The 17845-nt window shown below is 38.4% G+C and overlaps 1 protein-coding gene across 3 annotated transcripts in view, besides 1 other annotated feature; it reads left to right on the top strand.

Moving 5' to 3' along the window:
• COL5A2 (collagen type V alpha 2 chain) overlaps positions 1 to 17845 on the top strand; it is a 409214-nt gene that overhangs the window by 9171 nt on the left and 382198 nt on the right. For 2 of the 3 annotated variants that reach the window (XM_011510573.4, XM_047443251.1), the window contains exon 2: positions 2479 to 2649. The exons of the other annotated variant lie outside the window; for it this stretch is intronic. The gene's annotated coding sequence lies outside the window, so the exon portion shown is untranslated. The remainder of the gene's footprint in view (positions 1 to 2478; positions 2650 to 17845) is intronic. 3 annotated transcript variants of the gene reach the window in all.
• Positions 4643 to 5245: an enhancer, noted in NCBI's record as "OCT4-NANOG hESC enhancer chr2:190291422-190292024 (GRCh37/hg19 assembly coordinates)". NCBI's record gives its function as "activates a minimal SCP1, AML or CMV promoter by ChIP-STARR-seq in naive and primed H9 embryonic stem cells {active_cell/tissue: H9 hESC(naive and primed)}" and the evidence as "EXISTENCE:reporter gene assay evidence [ECO:0000049][PMID:30033119]".

Here is a 17845-nt window from a genome sequence, read left to right as displayed (position 1 = left end):
ACTGCACTTAACATTTTTTCCTTCATTTCTACCTTGGTGAATCTGACAATTATGTGTCTTGGGGTTGCTCTTCTCGAGGAGTATCTTTGTGGTGTTCTCTATATTTCCTGAATTTGAATGTTGGCCTGCCTTGCTGGGTTGGGGAAGTTCTTCTGGATAATATCCTGAAGAGTGCTTTCGGACTTGGTTCCATTCTCCCCATCACTTTCAGGTACACCAATCAGACGTAGATTTGGTCTTTTCACAGAGTCCCATATTTCTTGGAGGCTTTGTTCGTTTCTTTTTATTCTTTTTTTCTCTAACCTTGTCTTCTCGCTTTATTTCATTAATTTGATCTTGAATCACTGATACCCTTTCTTCCACTTGATTGAATCAGCTATTGAAGCTTGTGCATGTGTCATGAAGTTCTTGTGGCATGGTTTTCAGCTCTATCAGGTCATTTAAGGTCTTCTCTACATTGTTTATTCTAGTTAGCCATTCAACTAACCTTTTTTCAAGGTTTTTAGCTTTTTTTGTGATGGGTTAAAACATGCTCTTTTAGATCGGAGAAGTGTGTTATTACTGACCTCCTGAAGCCTACTTTTGTCGACTCATCAAAGTCTTTCTCTGTCCAGCTTTGTTCTGTTGCTGGTGAGGAGCTGCGATCCTTTGGAGGAGAAGAGGCACTCTGGTTTTTAGAATTTTCAGTTTTTCAGCTCTTGTTTCTCCCCATCTTTTTGGTTTTATCTACCTTTGGTCTTTGATGTTGGTGACCTACAGATGGGGTTTTGGTGTAGATATCCTTTTTGTTGATGTTGATGCTATTCCTTTCTGTTTGTTAGTTTTCCTTCTAATAGGTACCTCAGCTGCAGGTCTGTTGGAGTTTGCTGGAGGTCCACTCCAGACCCTGTTTGCCTGGGTATCACCAGCAGAGGCTGCAGAACAGCAAATATTGCAGAATAGCAAATATTGCTGCCTGATCCTTCCTCTGGAATCTTTGTCCCATAGGGGCACCCACCTATATGAGGTGTCTGTAGGCCCCTACTGGGAGGTGTCTCCCAGTTAGTCTACACAGGGGTCAGGGACCCACTTGAGGAGGCAGTCTGTCTGTTCTCAGAGCTCAAACACCATGCTGGGAGAACCACTGCTCTCTTCAGAGCTGCCAGATTGCAGAAGTTGTCTGCTGCCTTTTGTTCAGCTATGCCCTGCCCACAGAAGTGGAGTCTATAGAGGCAGTAGGCCCTGCTGAGCTGCAGTGGGCCTCCACCCAGTTCAAGCTTTCTGGCTGCTTTGTTTACCTACTCAAGCCTCAGCAATGGAGGATGCCCCTCCTCCAGCCAGGCTGAGTTTGATCTCAGACTGCTGCACTAGCAGTGAGCAATGCTCCGTGGGTGTGGGTCCTGCGGAGCCAGGCACAGGAGAGAATCTCCTTGTCTGACAGTTGCTAAGACCTTGGGAAAAGCACAGTATTTGGCCAGGAGTGTCCTGTTTTTCCAGGTACAGTCTGTCATGGCTTCCCTTGGCTAGCAAAGGGAAATCCCCCAACCCCTTGTGTTTCCTGGGTGAGGTGACCTCAGGCCCTAACATCTTTGTTAGTCCTGGGTATCTTTTCCTCTCACTCATGTAGCTGTATCTCCTTTTAGTTTAGCTTCCTTTGTTTCACACATCTTCTTTAGAACCCCTCCATTAGATGAGTATCTATATCTCAACTCAACTGTGAATAGGGATAGTTTTCTTTCTGTAGGACTTCAGAGTCCTGTGCAAGTTGTGATATTTATGGATAATCAAGATATTCCCTAAACATTCTTGGGCAGGAGAATTGGGAGGTAGGTGCAGTGCAAGGGAGAGGAGTTGGCCTAACTCCACTAATATGCTGTGGCCCGTGTTTTACTTCTTTGAGAGCAACTTCAAAGCAAATCTGTCAATGCCAGTAAATACATTAAAGAACTAACTGTGGGGGAGAGTTAGTAAAAATTAATAAAGCCTTTTCCTTTTATACCATAAGAATGTGACCTTCACTTAATTTTCTCTCTGTTCCACTGGAAATCAGATGAAGATAGAATGTCAACGATGTTACAGTCAGTATTGCCTACAGTAATATTATCCCTGAATGATAAATTGCAACCAAACAAGAAGGAGTTATAAATGTCCCATAAATACCTGAAGATAGAATGTCAACTATGTTACAGTCAATATTGCCTATGGTAATATTATCCCTGATTGATAAATTGCAACTAAACAAGGAGGAATTATAAATGTCCCATAAATATCTGATGAGAGTGCTATAATTTGGGCTTCCCTGAGTGTGTTAACTCTTGTAATTGGGTATGTCTCTCATGTGAATCCTGGAAGCCTGTGGAGTTGCTACAAGAGATATAGTGTCTTGTGGGACATGAGACTCTTAAGTAGGGCAACCCCTGAACCTGCCAGATGAGAAGTAAATGAAATAAGCAATGAAGGTGAAACTGAAGTTATACTTTTAAAATCTCATACCCCCAGGCATCACCTTAGAGTCAACCTTCTTTGAAACCACTGTCTCAGAGAAATCCCTCCAAGACACAGGTAATTAGAGAGGGTATGTGAACCAAGGAGCCAATCAAATTCTCCCACATAAGAATTTGGGACACAGAAGATGAAGCTGAGGACCACAAGGATTTAGATACTGATGCTGTAAGTTATTCCTTTCTTTTTTTTAAATTTAACACTTTCTAAAAATTGACAGATAAAATTCTATGTATTTATTATGTACAACACGATGACTTGAAGCACATATACCTTGTGGAATGGTTAAACCTACCTAATTAATATATATGTATCAACTCACATGGTTATCATTTTTGTGTTGAGAACACTTAACATTGACTCTCTTAGCATTCCTCAAGAGTGCAACATATTGCCATTTATTATGGTCCCTATGCTGTACAATAGCCCTCTTGAATTTATTCTTCCGGCCTGATTGTAATTTTGTGTTCTTTGACCAAAATCTCCCTAACAACCACTCCCACAATCACTGCAGCCTCTGGTAACCACCATTCTACTTTCTATTTTTTGACATTGACTTTTTAAGTTGCCTCATTATGAGTGAGATCATGTGGTGTATTAGGCCATTCTTGTGCTGCTATAAAGAAATAGCTGGTACTGGATAATTTATAAAGAAAATAGGTTTAATTGGCTCATGGTTCTGCAGGCTGTACAGGAAGCATAATTCTGGCATATGCTCAGCTTCTGGGAGGCCTCAGAAACTTGCAATCATGGCAGAAGGCAAAGGGAGAGTGAGACATCTTACATGGCAAAAGCAGGACTGAGAGATGGGGAAGTGCTTCATACTTTTTTATTTTTTTTTTCAGACGGAGTCTCACTCTGTCACTGAGGCTGGAGTGCAGTGGCACAGTCTTGGCTCACTGCAACCTCCGCCTCCTGGGTTCAAGCAATTCTCCTGCCTCAGCCTTCCAAATAGCTGGGACTACAGGTGCGTGCCACCACACCCAGCTAATTTTTGTATTTTTAGTAGAGATGGGATTTCACTATGTTAGCCAGGCTAGTCTCAAACTCCTGACCTCATGATCCACCTGCCTTGGTCACCCAAAGTGCTGGGATTACAGGTGTGAGCCACCATGCCTGGCTCACAGTTTTAAACAACCAGATATCATGAGAACTCTATCATGTGAATAGCACTAGGGGTATAGGGCTAAATAATTCATGAGAAACCACCCCCATGATTCAGTCACCTTCTACCTCCAGCATTGGGGATTATATTTTAACATGAGATCTGGGCAGGTACACACACCAAACCATATCATTTCACCCTGCCGCTTCCCAAATCTCATGCCCCTCTCACATTTCAAAATACAATCATGCCTTCCCAACAATGGCCCAAAGTCTTAACTCAGTCTAGCATTAACTCGAAAGTCCACAGTCCAAAGTCTCCTTTGAGGCAAGACTAGTCCCTTCTGCCTATGAGCCTGTAGAATAAAAAACAAGCTAGTTTCTTTCAAGATACAATGGGGGTAAAGGCATTGGGTAAATGCTTTCATTCCAAATGTAAGAAATTGGCCAAAACCAAGGGGCTACAGGCCCCATGCAAGTCTGAAACTCAGCAGGGCAGGTATTGGGTAATTACTTCTATTCCGAGGGAGAAATCAGCCAAAGAAAGAGTCTATAGGCCTGTGCAAGTCTGAAAGTCAGCAGGGGGTTGAGAGCTTAAAGTAATTAAATCTTAAAGCTCCAAAATAATGTATTTCGACTCCTTGTCCCATATTCAGGGCATGCTGGTACAAAAGGTGGGCTCCCGAAGCCTTGGGAAGCTCTGTCCCTGTGGCTTTGCAGGGTTCACCCACTCTGGCTGCTCTCATGGGCTGGCATTGAATGTCTGTGGCTTTTCCAGATGCATGATCCAAGCTGTTGGTGGAGCTACAATTCTGGGGTCTGAAGGATGGTGGTCCTCTTCTCATAGCTCCACTAGGCAGTGCCCCATTGGGGATTCTGTGTGGGGGCTCCAACCCCACATTTTCCTTCTGCATTGTCCTAGTAAAGGGTCTCCGTGAGGGCTCTGCCCCTGCAGCTGGCTTCTGCCTGGACATTCAGGCTATTCCATACGTTTTCTAAAATCTAGGCAGAGGCTCCCAAGCCTCAACTCTTGGACTCTGTGCACCTACAGGTTTAACACCATGTGGAAGCTACCAAGGTTTACAGCTTGCGCTCTCTGAAGCAATAGCCTGAGGTGTACCTGAGCCCCTTTGAGCTACAGCTGGAGCTGGAGTGGCTACGATGTAGGGAACAGTTTCCTGAGGCTGCATGGGGCAGAGGGGCCCTGGGCCTGGCCCAATAAACCATTCTTCCCTCCTAGACATCTGGGCCTGTGATGGGAGGGGCTGTCATGAGGGTCTCTGAAATGCCTTTGAGGTCTTTCTCCCATTGTCTTGGCTATCAGCACTTGCCTTCCTTTTAGTTATGCAAATTTCTGCAGGCTGCTTCAATTCCTCCCCTGAAAATGGGCTTTTCTTTTGTACTACATGGCAAAGCTGCAAATTTTCCAAACTTTTACACTTTGCTTCCCTTTTAGATATAAGTTTCAGTTTTAGGTCATTTCTTTGCTCATGCATAGAAGCATAGGTTGTTAGAGGTAGCCAGGTCACATCTTGAATGTTTTGCTGCTTAGAAATTTCTTCTGCCAGATACACTAAATCATCCCTTTTAAGTTCTAAGTTCCACACATCGCTAGAGCAGGGCACAATACAGCCAGATTCTTTGCTAAAGCATAGCGGAAGTGACCTTTACTGAAGTTTGTGAACCCTGAAAATCTGAGACAGTTAATTTAGAAAGTTGATTTTGCCAAGGTTGAGGACACATGCTCATGACGCAGCCTCAGGAGGTCCTGATGACATGTGCCCAAGGTGGTTAGAGCACAGTTTGGCTTTACATTTATGGAGACATGAGACATCAATCAACATATGTAAGATGAACAGTGGTTCCGTCTGAAAAGATGGGAAAACTCGAAGCAAAGATGGTAAGACTTTAAGCAGGGAGGGGGCTTCCAGGTCATAGGCAGATAAGAGACAAGTGGTTGCATTCTTTTGAGTTTCTGATTAGCCTCCCCAAAGGATGCAATTAGAAATGTATTTATCTCAGTGAGCAGAGGGGTGACTTTGAATAGAATGGGAGGCAGTCCTAAGCAGTTCCCAGCTTGACTTTTCCCTTTAGCTTAGTAAGGTCCTAATTTCTATCTGAGACCTCCTCAGTCTGGAATTCCTTGTCCATATCACTATCAGCATTTGGGTCATAACAACTTATCAAGTCTCTAGGAAGTTCCAAACTTTCCCTTGTCTTCCTGTCTTCTTCTGAGCTCTCCAAACTCTTCCAACCTGCCCATTACCCAGTTTCAAAGTCATTTCCACATTATCAGGTATCTTTATAGCAATGCCTCACTCTTGAATACCAATTTTCTGTATTTACTGCTATAAGGAAATATCTGAGACTGGGTGATTTATAAAGAAAAGAAGTTTAATTGGCTCAGGATTCCACAGGCTATACAGGAAGCATAATTCTGGCATCTGCTCAGATTCTGGGGAGGCCTCAGGAAATGTGCAATTATAGCAGAAGGCAAAGGGGGAGTGAGGCATCTTACATGGCAGGAGCAGGACCAAGAATGGGAGGGAGGTGCTACACACTTTTAAACAACTGGATCTCATGAGAACTCTGTTACGAGAACAGCATCAGGGGGATGATGTAAACCATTCATGAGAAACTGCCCCCATGATTCAAGCACCTTCCACAAGGCCCCACAATCAGCACTGGGGATTACATTTCAACATAAGATTGGGGTGGGGACAGAAATTCAAATTGTATCATGTGGTATTTGTCTTTCTGCACCTGTTTTATTTCACTTTGCATAATGTCCTCTAGGTTTATCCGTGTTGTATTAAATGACAGAATTTTATTCTTATTTTATGGCTGCATAGTATTTCATTGTGTATATATACCACTTTAAAAAATTCTATTCATCTGTTTATGGATACTTAAATTGATTCCATATCTCAGCTATGTTGCTTGCAGTAAACACGAGAGTGCAGATAGCTCTTTGACATACTGATTTCATTTTCTTTGGCTATATACCCAGTAGTGGGATTGCTCGATCATATAATAGTTTCATTTTTTTATTTTTTGAGGAAACTCCATATTGTTTCCTATAATGGTTGTATTAATTTGCATTCCCACCAACAGTGTGCAAGAATTTCCTTTTCTTCACATCTTTGCCAACTTTTGTTATCTTTTGTCTTTTCGATAATAGTCATTCTAACAGAAGTGAGATGATACCTCCTTGTGGTTTTGCATGTGCTGTGAGATAAGAGTCTAATTTCCTTCTTTGCATGAGGATGTCCATTTTTCCCAATACAATTTATTGAAGAGACTGTCCTTTCCCCACTGTGTGTAGTTTGTCAAAAATAAGTTGGCTGCAAATGAGCAGATTTATTTCTGGGCTATTTTGTTCCATTGGCATATATATCTGTTTTTATGTTAGTACCACGGCTGTTGGGTTACTAGAGCTTTGTAATATATCTTGAAGTCAGGTACTGTGATGCCTCTAGCTTTGGTCTTTTTGCTTAAGATGATTTTGGCTAATCAGGTCTTTTTTTGTTCCACACAAATTTTAGAATGTTTTTTCTCTTTATGTAAAGAATGCCATTGCTATTTTGATAAGGATTGCATTGAATATATTTGGGTAGTGTGGACATTGTAACAATATTAGTTATTTCAGTCCATGAATACAAGTACCTTTCTGTTTATTTATGCCTTCTTCAATTTATCTCATAAATGTTTTATGATTTTCAGTGTAGATTTCTTTCATCTCCATGGTTAAATTTATTTCTAAGTATTTTATTTCTTTTGTAGCTACTATAAGTGGAATTGTTTTCTTGATTTCCCTTTCAAGTAGATTGCTGAAGTACCACTGACTTTTGTATGTTGATTTTGTATCCTGCATCTTTACTGAATTTGTTTATTAGTTATAACAATTATTTGGAAGATTTTTTAGTTTTTAAAAAAAGTACATAAAGTCATGTCATCTGCAAATAGAGACAACTTCTTCCTTACTAATTTGGATGGCTTTTATTTCTTTCCTTTGCCTAACGGCTCATTAGAACTTCCAGTACTATGTTGAATAAAAGTGGTGAAAATAAGCATGTTTGTCTTGTTCCAGGTATTAAAAGAAAAGGTTTAATTTTTCCCCATTGAATATTCTGTTAGCTATGGCCTTTATTGTGTTAAGGTACATTTCTTTTGTACCTAATTTATTCACAGTTTTTTAATCATTAAAATATGTTAAATTTTGTCAAGTGCTTTTTCTGAATATATTGAAATGATATAATTGTGTCTTTCATTCTGTTAATGTGGTGTATTACATTTATTGATTTGCATATGTTGAATCATCCTTGCATTTCTGGGATGAATCCCACTTGATCATGGTGAAGGATCTTTTTAAGATACTATTTAATTTGTTTTACTGGTAATTTGTTGAGCATTTTTGCATCTTTGTTCCTCAGGGATGTTGGCCTGTAGCTTTTTTTTTTCCCCCTCGTCTGATTTGGTATGCTAGTCTCATAAAATACATTTATTAGTATTCCCTCCTCTCCAATTTTTTGGAAGAGTTTGAGAAGGATTGGTATTAATTATCCTTTAAAGGTTTGGTAGAATTCAGCAATGAAGCCACCAGGTCCTGGGTTTTTCTTTGATAGGTGACATTTTATTACAAATTCAATCACTTTTCTTGTTATTGATCTGTTCAGAATTTCCTTTTCTTTATAGTTCAATCTTGTATGTGTCAAGGAATTTATCCATTTCCTCTGTGTTACACAATTTGTTGGCATATAATTGTTCATAATAGTCTCTTATTATCCTTTGTATTTATGTGTTATCCACTGTGATATTTTTTGTTTCATTTCTAATTTTATTTTTGTTTTCTTCTCTTTTTTCCTTAGTCTAGCTAAATGTTTTTTCTAATCTTTTCAAAATACTAACTCTTCATTAAAAAAATTTCCTATTATTTTCCTAGTTTCTATTTCATTTATTTCTTTTCTGATCTTTATTATTTCCTTCTTTCTACTAAATTTGGGCTTAATTTTTTCCTATTTTTTTAGTTCCTTAAGGTGCAATGTTAGGTTGTTTATTTGAAATTTTTATTTTTTGATGTAGGCACTTAGTGCTGAAAACTTCCCTCTTAAAACTGCTTTTGTTATATCCCATAGCTTTTGATATGATTTTCAGTGTAGATTTCTTTCATCTCCATGGCTTTTGATATTGTGTTTTCATTTCCATTTGTCTCAAGATATGTTTTAAAGTTCCTTTTAATTTTGTCATTGACCCATTTGTTGTTTAGCAGTATGTTTTTAAATATCCATTTTTTGGGGTGAATTTTCTTTTCTTTCTTTTTTTTTTTTTTTTTGAGACAGAGTTTCGCTCTTGTTGCCCAGGCTGGAGTGCAACGGCACAATCTCGGCTCACCACAACCTCCGCCTCCCAGGTTCAAGCAATTCTCCTGCCTCAGCCTCCTGAGTAGCTGGGATTATAGGCGTGTGCCATCATGCCTGGCTAATTTTTGTATTTTTAGTAGAGACGGGGTTTCACCATGTTGGTCAAGCTGGTCTCGAACTCCTGACCTCGTGATTTGCTCGCCTTGGCCTACCAAAATGCTGGAATTACAGGTGTGAGCCACCACGCCTGGCCTTGGGTGAATTTTCTGAAGTTCCTCCTGTTATTGACTTCTAATTTTATACCAGGTGGTCAGAAAAAATGCTTAATGTGATTTCAATCTTACTGAATTTAAAACTTGTTTTGTAGCCTAACACATGATTTATACTGGAGAGTGCTCCATGTGCCATTGAGAGAATGTGTGTTCTGCATATGTCCATTAGGTTCAGTTGACCTAAATAGTAGTTTAAATACTATGCTTTCTGACTGATTTCCTTTCTGGATTATCTGTTCATTGCTAAAAGCAGGGTATTGAAGTCTTTGAGTTTACAAATTCTTTCTTCTGCTTGATCAATTCTGCTGTTTGAGCTCTTTATTATATTTTACATTTTGTTCATTGCATTTTTTTAGTTCCAAAATTTCTGTTTCTTAAAATATTATTTCAATCTCTGTTAAATTTTTCATTCTGGTCACTTATTGTTTTGTTAATTTCTTTGAATTATCTCTCTCTATTTTCCTAAAGTTTGCCAAGTTTCCTGAAAACAGTTATTATAAATGTTTTGTCGGGCAGTTCATATGTCTCCAGCTCTTTAGGGCCAGTCACTGGCACTTTATTTTTTCTCTCTGGTGTTGTCATGTTTTCCTAAATGTTCTTGGTCATTGTGGCTATGTGATAATGCCTGCACATGTGAAGAAGTAGGTACTTATTCCAGTCTTCATAGACTGAATTTGTCTAAGAATGCCTTCCAATAGTAAGCCTGTCCAGAGATTCTGGGCAGATCATCTGGTATGGCTGCTATTCTTGGGACCACCGTGGCCATTGCAGTCCTAGGGAGCATCATAAGCTTGGACTGCTATGGCTGGCACAATGCCAGGCTGGAATCTTGTGGTTACTGAAGCTGGTGTGGAGCTGGGATGTGCTAGAAATCCTTAGTCATAGAGGCTGGTACATTGCTAAGACTGTGAAGCCCACAGCTGCTGAGGTCTGCCTCCTGTCTGCCACTGAGATTTGTCCAAGGCCCAAGGCCACTGTAGATGGTCAGTGGTGATGCAGACTGCAGATTGAGTCTGTCTTGCAGGAGCTGTGGTTCCCACTTGGTCCCTGGGCAGTCATTGAGGCTAGGTCTGTGGGCACTGGCCTGGAGTCAGGGGCTGTGGGGGTCTGTGTGGTAGTGATTTTTACTGTGGTGGTCCCTGTGTTAGTGTCCATGGCAAATTCCTTTGCTTACTTCTCTCTCTTTCCCCCAAGCAGATGGTGGCTTTCACTGCACTGTGCTACCTGGGGTTGGGGAAGGGGTGCTGCAGGTAACATAAAACTATCTTTCCTACTCTCCTCAGTGTGTCTTTTCTTATTATTATTATGCTATAACCATGTACTGTGATCTCTCACCACCTTTCCTTAGCACTTGAGAAGGTAATTTCGTGCGTGGATAGTTGTTCAAATTAATGTTTTTTGTGGGGTGATGATTGTGTGGAGAGTCCTATTCTGCCATCTTACTCTTCCCTTTCCCTGCAAGTTATGTTTCGTAAGGTGAGGTTATTTGAGAGCAGGAGAGAGATAAGAAAGAAATATCCTAATTTAGTAGGTGTGTGGTGGGCCATGTGTTTATCTTTAAGTAAAGAGTATTAGTACTTTAAAAAAAATTGCAAGAAATAGAATGCTTATTGCCAAATTTAGCTTTTAAAATTATTCCTGGATTAGTGAGCTCATACAACTCTCTTTTTAAAATAAATTAATTTATTAGTATACTGATTATTCTACTGTTTCCTTTAGTATTAAACAATAGCATTATTTTAATCAGAATATTTCAAATATATTTAAATTAAAGACAAGAACAATGCTTTATAAGTGAACAATGTTTACGTGTAAAATGTTATTTTAGGTATCATTTGGTTGTAAGAAACAGAAATGTCCTTAATTGATGTTCTTAGTTGAAAGGTGGCGAGGACAAGAGATTTGGGAAATCTTATGGAAACAGACTGTAAAAAGTATAGTTGGGGCTGATGGAGGATGGGAACAGGAAAGCTCTAAGGAATAGTCTTTCTGCCTTTGGAGTAGGGTGGTCAGTCACTGCCTCTACTGAGGGTCTGATTTCATTCATCTATCTTTGTGGCTTCTCTGATTTCATTCTTTTAAATTTATATTTTATTTTAATACTAAAATATTGTATATTTTAGTGCAGACCTATTTATCTAATTTATACATATATAAATATACATATATTTGGGGGACATATACTAAAATTATTTTTAAAACTATTGGGATGCACAATTAATCGAGATTGGAGACTAGTTGCTTAAAATGATTGTGAATATGGAGAAAACTCCTGGCATCTATAATACAGTATTATTTTCATGCCTGTATTTTACAGCAAATTGGCTCTCCAAAATACTGTGGGACTTCACCAGATTCTTGATTACATGTCACTGATGTCTACTCTGGTTTTTTTCCTCATTCTTAAAATTTAATTATGTTTACTAAGTAATTCATAATTCATAAAATCTGAATTAAATCAGTTCTCCATTATCCATTAATACTTGGAATCATGGAATCATGAACTCAACATGCAGAATGGATGCACTGTTTGAAAATGAATTGTGTGACAGCATTAGCCAAAGTGAGAATTTCTAATATCTGTTTTTAAAGGTACTGGTAATTTTTCCTCCCTCCCTTCCTTCCTTCCTTCCTTCCTTCTCCCTCCCTCCCTCCCTTCCTTCCTTCCTTCCCTCTCTTTCTTATTCTCTTTCTTTTCCTCCTCTCATCTCCTCCTCCTCCTCTCTCCTCTCCTCCTCCTCTTCCTCCTCTCCTCTCCTCTCCTCTCACCTCTTTTCCTTTCCTTTCCTCTCCTCCCCTCTCCTTCTTCTCCTCCTCCTCTTCTCCTCTCCTCTCCTCTCCTCCTCCTCCTCCTCTCCTCTCACCTCTTTTCCTTTCCTTTCCTTTCCTCTCCTCTCCTCTCTTTTCTTTTCTTTTCTGTTTTTCTTCTTTTCTTGGTCTTGCTCTGTTGCCCAGGCTGAAGTGCAGTGGTAGGATCATAGCTCACTGCAGCCTCAAAGTCCTGGGGTCAGGCGATCCTCCTGCCTCAGTCTTTCCAGTAGCTAGGACTATAGACGTGTGCCACCACTCTTGGTTAATTAAAAAAAAAATTATTTTGTGGACATGGGGTCTTTCTCTGTTACCCAGGCTGATCTTGAATGCCTGACCTCAAGTGATCCTCCTCTCTTGGCCTCCCAAAGTACTGGGATTACAGTTGTGAGCACCGTACTTGGCCTAATTTTTTATTTTTATTTGACTTTCAACCTTAAAAATAAAACCAAGACCAATTTCCAGGCAGTTGTTGTGGTTCTACTTGTTTTGTAATATTGTGATGAATTTTAACATCTTGTTCCTAGATTGCCTAAAAAAATTGAAAACTAATGATTGTATTCTTTCCTGCATTAGTGACTTTTGTGTACGTGTAGAGTACATTGTTAATTGTTAAAATACTGTAATTAGCAATTTACAGGGCCAGGGATAAGAACTTGTACATTGGTAGACTAGGAGATAAATTCTAGATAGCAGAAATGAGGGACTAGAGAGATTATGAGAGAAAGAAAAGTCAATATAAGGGACATTATTGAGGTCATCTCATGAGCAAGTGGACTCAGTCCTACCCAGAACATTTAAAGAGCATGAAGATGCTTCTCAGAATCATCTTCCTGAGGATCAACAAGAGGATTTTCCTGATGGGCTCTGTGTATTGATTGTGGGTTACCCTTGGGGGTTTGGGTTTTGGTGGTAACTATTTGGCCTTCAGGTTCCTGTAACTATTACATTTGGATCACCCACTAAGTCATACTTTATCTGTATAGCCAAGAAATCCCTTGGTCTTATGAACAGAGGCCTAAATTTACTCCCCCAATTCCCAGACTTGGGTTATGGTCCTCTCTCATTTTCCATACTCAGGTGTATTCATTCTTAGAATTAAAGAGGGACTGAGTCTTGCTGAGGAAAGACCTAACCATAACATCAGATTACATGCTAGAGATCTTTCCCCTAGTCTTACCTAAAAGGATCAAGTGGCCATTTATCAGGATAATTGTGCTCTGGGAAAAGGAAGTACAAAGACTTCTCTGAGAATATTAATACTGGCTCTGAACTATTGATAATCTCTAAAGGCCTGCATAGCTACTATTTTCCATAAATCAGAGGAAAATGGACTTCGTGTCCATGTCTATCTTACAAGGGCCTAGTGACTCCACAAACCTGTTCTGTGGTTATTTTCTCAGTTCCTGAACTTATAGTTGGAATAGTATACTCAGCAAAAGCAGATATCCTATTTTAGCTCTTTTTTCCATGTAGGTCATGGTCACTGAGTTAGAAAAGACTAAGTGATAACTTTTGGAGCTCCTTCTCCTTTCCAAAATAATAAACCAAAGCCAAACTTCATCCTCAGGGAGGAGTCATAGATACTGGTGCCACCATTCAAGATTTTCTTATCATATCCCCATTAACTCATTATGCAGATGATAGAAAAGTTTCAGGAAATGACAGTGAAGATTACAAATTATTTGAGAAAACAAATTTTTATTAAAATGAAAATTTAAACAAATGGAAAGACATGTCATTTTTTTTCTTCTTTTACAAATTGTTTATCCATGTGTTTTCGCTGTTCATTATTGGTGAGTTCATAAATCAGTCATATACTTCATAATCTTTTAAGATAACTCTTCCTTTTGTACATTTTGAATTCTGTCCCACATGAATATATTACAAATTAAAAAAATAAATGAACAAGATTTCAATACAAATAAATATAAATTAAATAGCAAAGTCAGTATGTTGAAGAGGTATCTGCATTCCCATGATGATTGCAGCATTAATGATAATAGCTGACATATGGAATCAAAGTGTCCAACAATGAATGAAGAAAGTATTGTGTGTGTGCATATATATATACACATATATGTATGTGTATATATATATACACACACACACAATGGAACAATACTCAGCCATAAAAAGAATGAAATCCTGTCACTTGCAGCAACATGGATGGAACTGGAGGACATCACGTTAAATGAAATAAGCCAGACAAAGAAAGACAAATATCTCATATTCTCATCCATATGTGGGAATGAAAAAAAGTTGATATAGAAATAGTGAATAGAACATTTTATATTCTTGAATGGGAAGGTTATATATCATAAAAATATTAATCCCTCATCAAATTAATGTATAACTAAAATGCAGTTCCAATTAGAATTCCAACAGGGATTTATTTGTGTTTAAACAAAATAATCTGGAAATTTATATAGAAACATGAAAGCCATGGAATAGTCAACCAAATGTGAAAAAAAAAGAATAGTAAGGAAGACTTAACTTACCAGAAATCAAAACATGTCACAGTCACTATTATCCTAGAAAGAGACAAATTATCATTAAAATGGAATAATTAATATAGAAATAGATTCCAGAAATTTTATATATGACAAAGTTGGTAGATCAATTCTGTAAGAAATCATATTTAGTGATGCCGTAATATGTTGTACTATCTTAACTGATTAACAATTGCAATAAAATAAAAATAGACTTCTGTTTTAGTCCATAAATTCCAGATGGAATAATTAAGTAATCGCAACATCAAAACAATTGGAAATTTTCAAGGAAATCTAGAAGAACGTTTAAAATTTAGGGGAAAGATGACCTTATTCACCAAGGCTGGTAATCCTTATGCCATAAAAAATAGCTATGTATTTTTAACTTTATACAAATAAAAATCCTTTATGTAGCAAAAACACCATAAACAAATTAATAAGTGAACATATGAAAGATTTAGAAAAAAAATGTTTAAGCAGATGACAAAGGGTTTGTCTAATAATTTAAAAAGCTCTTATCTTATGCATTGAACAAAAGTCCCCTAAACAACCCAATAAAAAAAGACAAAGAATATTAGGAGAGCAAATTCAGTGGGCTACAAATGTGTTTTCAAAAGACATAGTCTAGAACAAAATACAGAAGTTTTGAAATAAAGTCAGGAAAAAATATAACAGATACTATAAAAGGATTTTTTTAAAAAATTTTATTATTGTTATACTTTAAGTTTTAGGGTACATGTGCACAACGTGCAGGTTTGTTACATATGTATACATACGCCATGTTGGTGTGCTGCACCCATTAACTCGTCATTTAGCATTAGGTATATCTCCTAATGCTATCCCTCCCCCTTCCTCCTACCCCACAACAGTCCCCGGTGTGTGATGTTCCCCTTCCTGTGTCCATGTGTTCTCATTGTTCCATTCCCACCTATGAGTGAGAACATGCGGTGTTTGGTTTTTTGTCCTTGCGATAGTTTGCTGGCAATGATAGTTTCCAGCTTCATCCATGTCCCTACAAAGGACATGAACTCATCATTTTTTATGGCTGCATAGTATTCCATGGTGTATATGTGCCACATTTTCTTAATCCAGTCTATCATTGTTGGGCATTTGGGTTGGTTCCAAGTCTTTGCTATTGTGAATAGTGCCGCAATAAACATACATGTGCTTGTGTCTGTATAGCAGCATGACTTATAATCCTTTGGGTATATACCCAGTAATGGGATGGCTGGGTCAAATGGTATTTCTAGTTCTAGATCCCTGAGGAATCGCCACACTGACTTCCACAATGGTTGAACTAGTTTACAGTCCCACCAACAGTGTAAAAGTGTTCCTGTTTCTCCACATCCTCTCCAGCACCTGTTGTAGGAATGTAGTTTTAACAATAAATCAGTATTATTCAGGGAAAATTATTTTCAAAGGAACAAACAGTTACTTTTATGTTGCTTAAAAATATATTCCATTGGCCAGGTGCAGTGGCTCACGCCTGTAATCCCAGCACTTTGGGAGGCCAAAGTGGGAGGATCACGAGGTCAGGAGATCGAGACCATCCTGGCTAACACGATGAAACCCCGCCTCTACTAAAAATACAAAAAAATTAGCTGGGTGTGGTGGTAGGCGCCTGTAGCCCTAGCTACTTGGGAGGCTGAGGCAGGAGACTGGCGTGAACCTGGGAGGCGGAGCTTGCAGTGAGGCGAGGTCGTGCCACTGCACTCCAGCCTGGGCGACAGAGCAAGACTGTCTCCAAAAAAAAGAAAAATGTATATATATTCCATTCCATCAAGAAGATATTTTATGGACATGTTATGATTCAACAACATAGCTTCAAACTACTTAAAACAGGACCAATAGAAATTAAAGGTGAAGTTGACAATTACAAATCCACTGACCAAGTAGAAAAATGTAGAGAGGCAGAATTCTTCAATAACACAATTAACTAGATTGATCTAATTTACATACACATTCAATAGACAACATACTTTTTTCCCGAAATGCACATGGAATATTAAAAAAAAGACCATCGTTTAGACCATAAAGGATAATAGCATACATCCTGCAGGCCATATTTACTGACCACGGTTCAAGAAAATTCAAAATTATAAATAATTGTCTAAAGAATATTGAGGAAAGCAAAATTAAATTATCTATTTGAAAATTTAAAAAAATTTACCCTAAATAACTGAAGTTAAAATGTCATCATAATAGAACATATCACTATTAGAAATAAATGATGGGAGTGCTAACTTACCATAACTGCAAAGAAAGCAATATTCAGAGGAAAGTTTATATCTTTCAGTGGCATTTATTAGAGCACAAAGACGATGGAAAATAATTAAGTTTTTAACTTAAGAGACTAGAAAGAAAGTAATAAGATAAACCCAGTCCAGAGTTCTTTCCACTATAGTTCACTAATGCTTCTTATTAATAGAAGTTTGGAATATCATTCCTTTGTTTTTGTTCACACCTATTATTTAATTCTAATATTTGGATATTTGCTTTTCTGTCATATGGAGGAAGCGCTGCCTATGAATTTTATGTATCCACAAAATATAAGAATTAAAGAAAAGACGTTAATATCTAATGCTGTTGTGTCCTTTGCCTAAGGAAAAGTCATTGAGGAGTAGAAGACTCTAGAACGGAAACATTCTTTTTTTTTTTTTTTTTTTTTTTGAGACAGAGTCTTACTCTGTCACCCAGGCTGGAGTGGGGTGGTGCGATCTCGGCTCACTGCAATGCAACCTCTGTCTCCCGGGCTCAAGCCATTCTCAGGCCTCAGCCTTCGAGTAGTTGGGATTATAGGCGCATGCCACCGCACTTGGCTAATTTTTGTATTTTTAGTAGAGACGGGGGTTTTGCCGTGTTGGCCAGGCTGGTCTTGAACTCCTGACCTAAAGTGATCCTCGGCCTCCCAAAGTGCTAGGATTACCAGCGAGAACCACTGCGCCCAGCTTAGAAGGGAAACATTCTTAGGGTCTTTAGGGTCCCAGAAAGCAGTTTGAAAGCTGTCCAAGAATAAAGGAAAGAGTATTGCTATTTTGAATATTAATGTAGAGAGCTGTTTTTGTAATAATGAGCAGGAACCATCTGTGCATATTATGTTACAATTAGGAAAATGTTTATATTTACAATATGAATTTTTACAGTATTTCTTTGATAATTACTATTTTTCCTCAAGAGGGTTGTATGTAAATTTCCCCTTTGATTTTACACTTGCGAAGACTGAAGAGCTGTTATTTGAACTTTATTCCAGAGATTCCTTATTCCTCATGGTGCTCTGTAACTTCATTTTTGAAAATAAATCAATATAGCATCCAATAAAATATGACAC

This window comes from Homo sapiens, chromosome 2 (genome assembly GCF_000001405.40).
Source record: "Homo sapiens chromosome 2, GRCh38.p14 Primary Assembly".
Classification (NCBI taxonomy): domain Eukaryota; kingdom Metazoa; phylum Chordata; class Mammalia; order Primates; family Hominidae; genus Homo; species Homo sapiens.
This window is presented reverse-complemented; position numbering and strand designations above follow the sequence as displayed.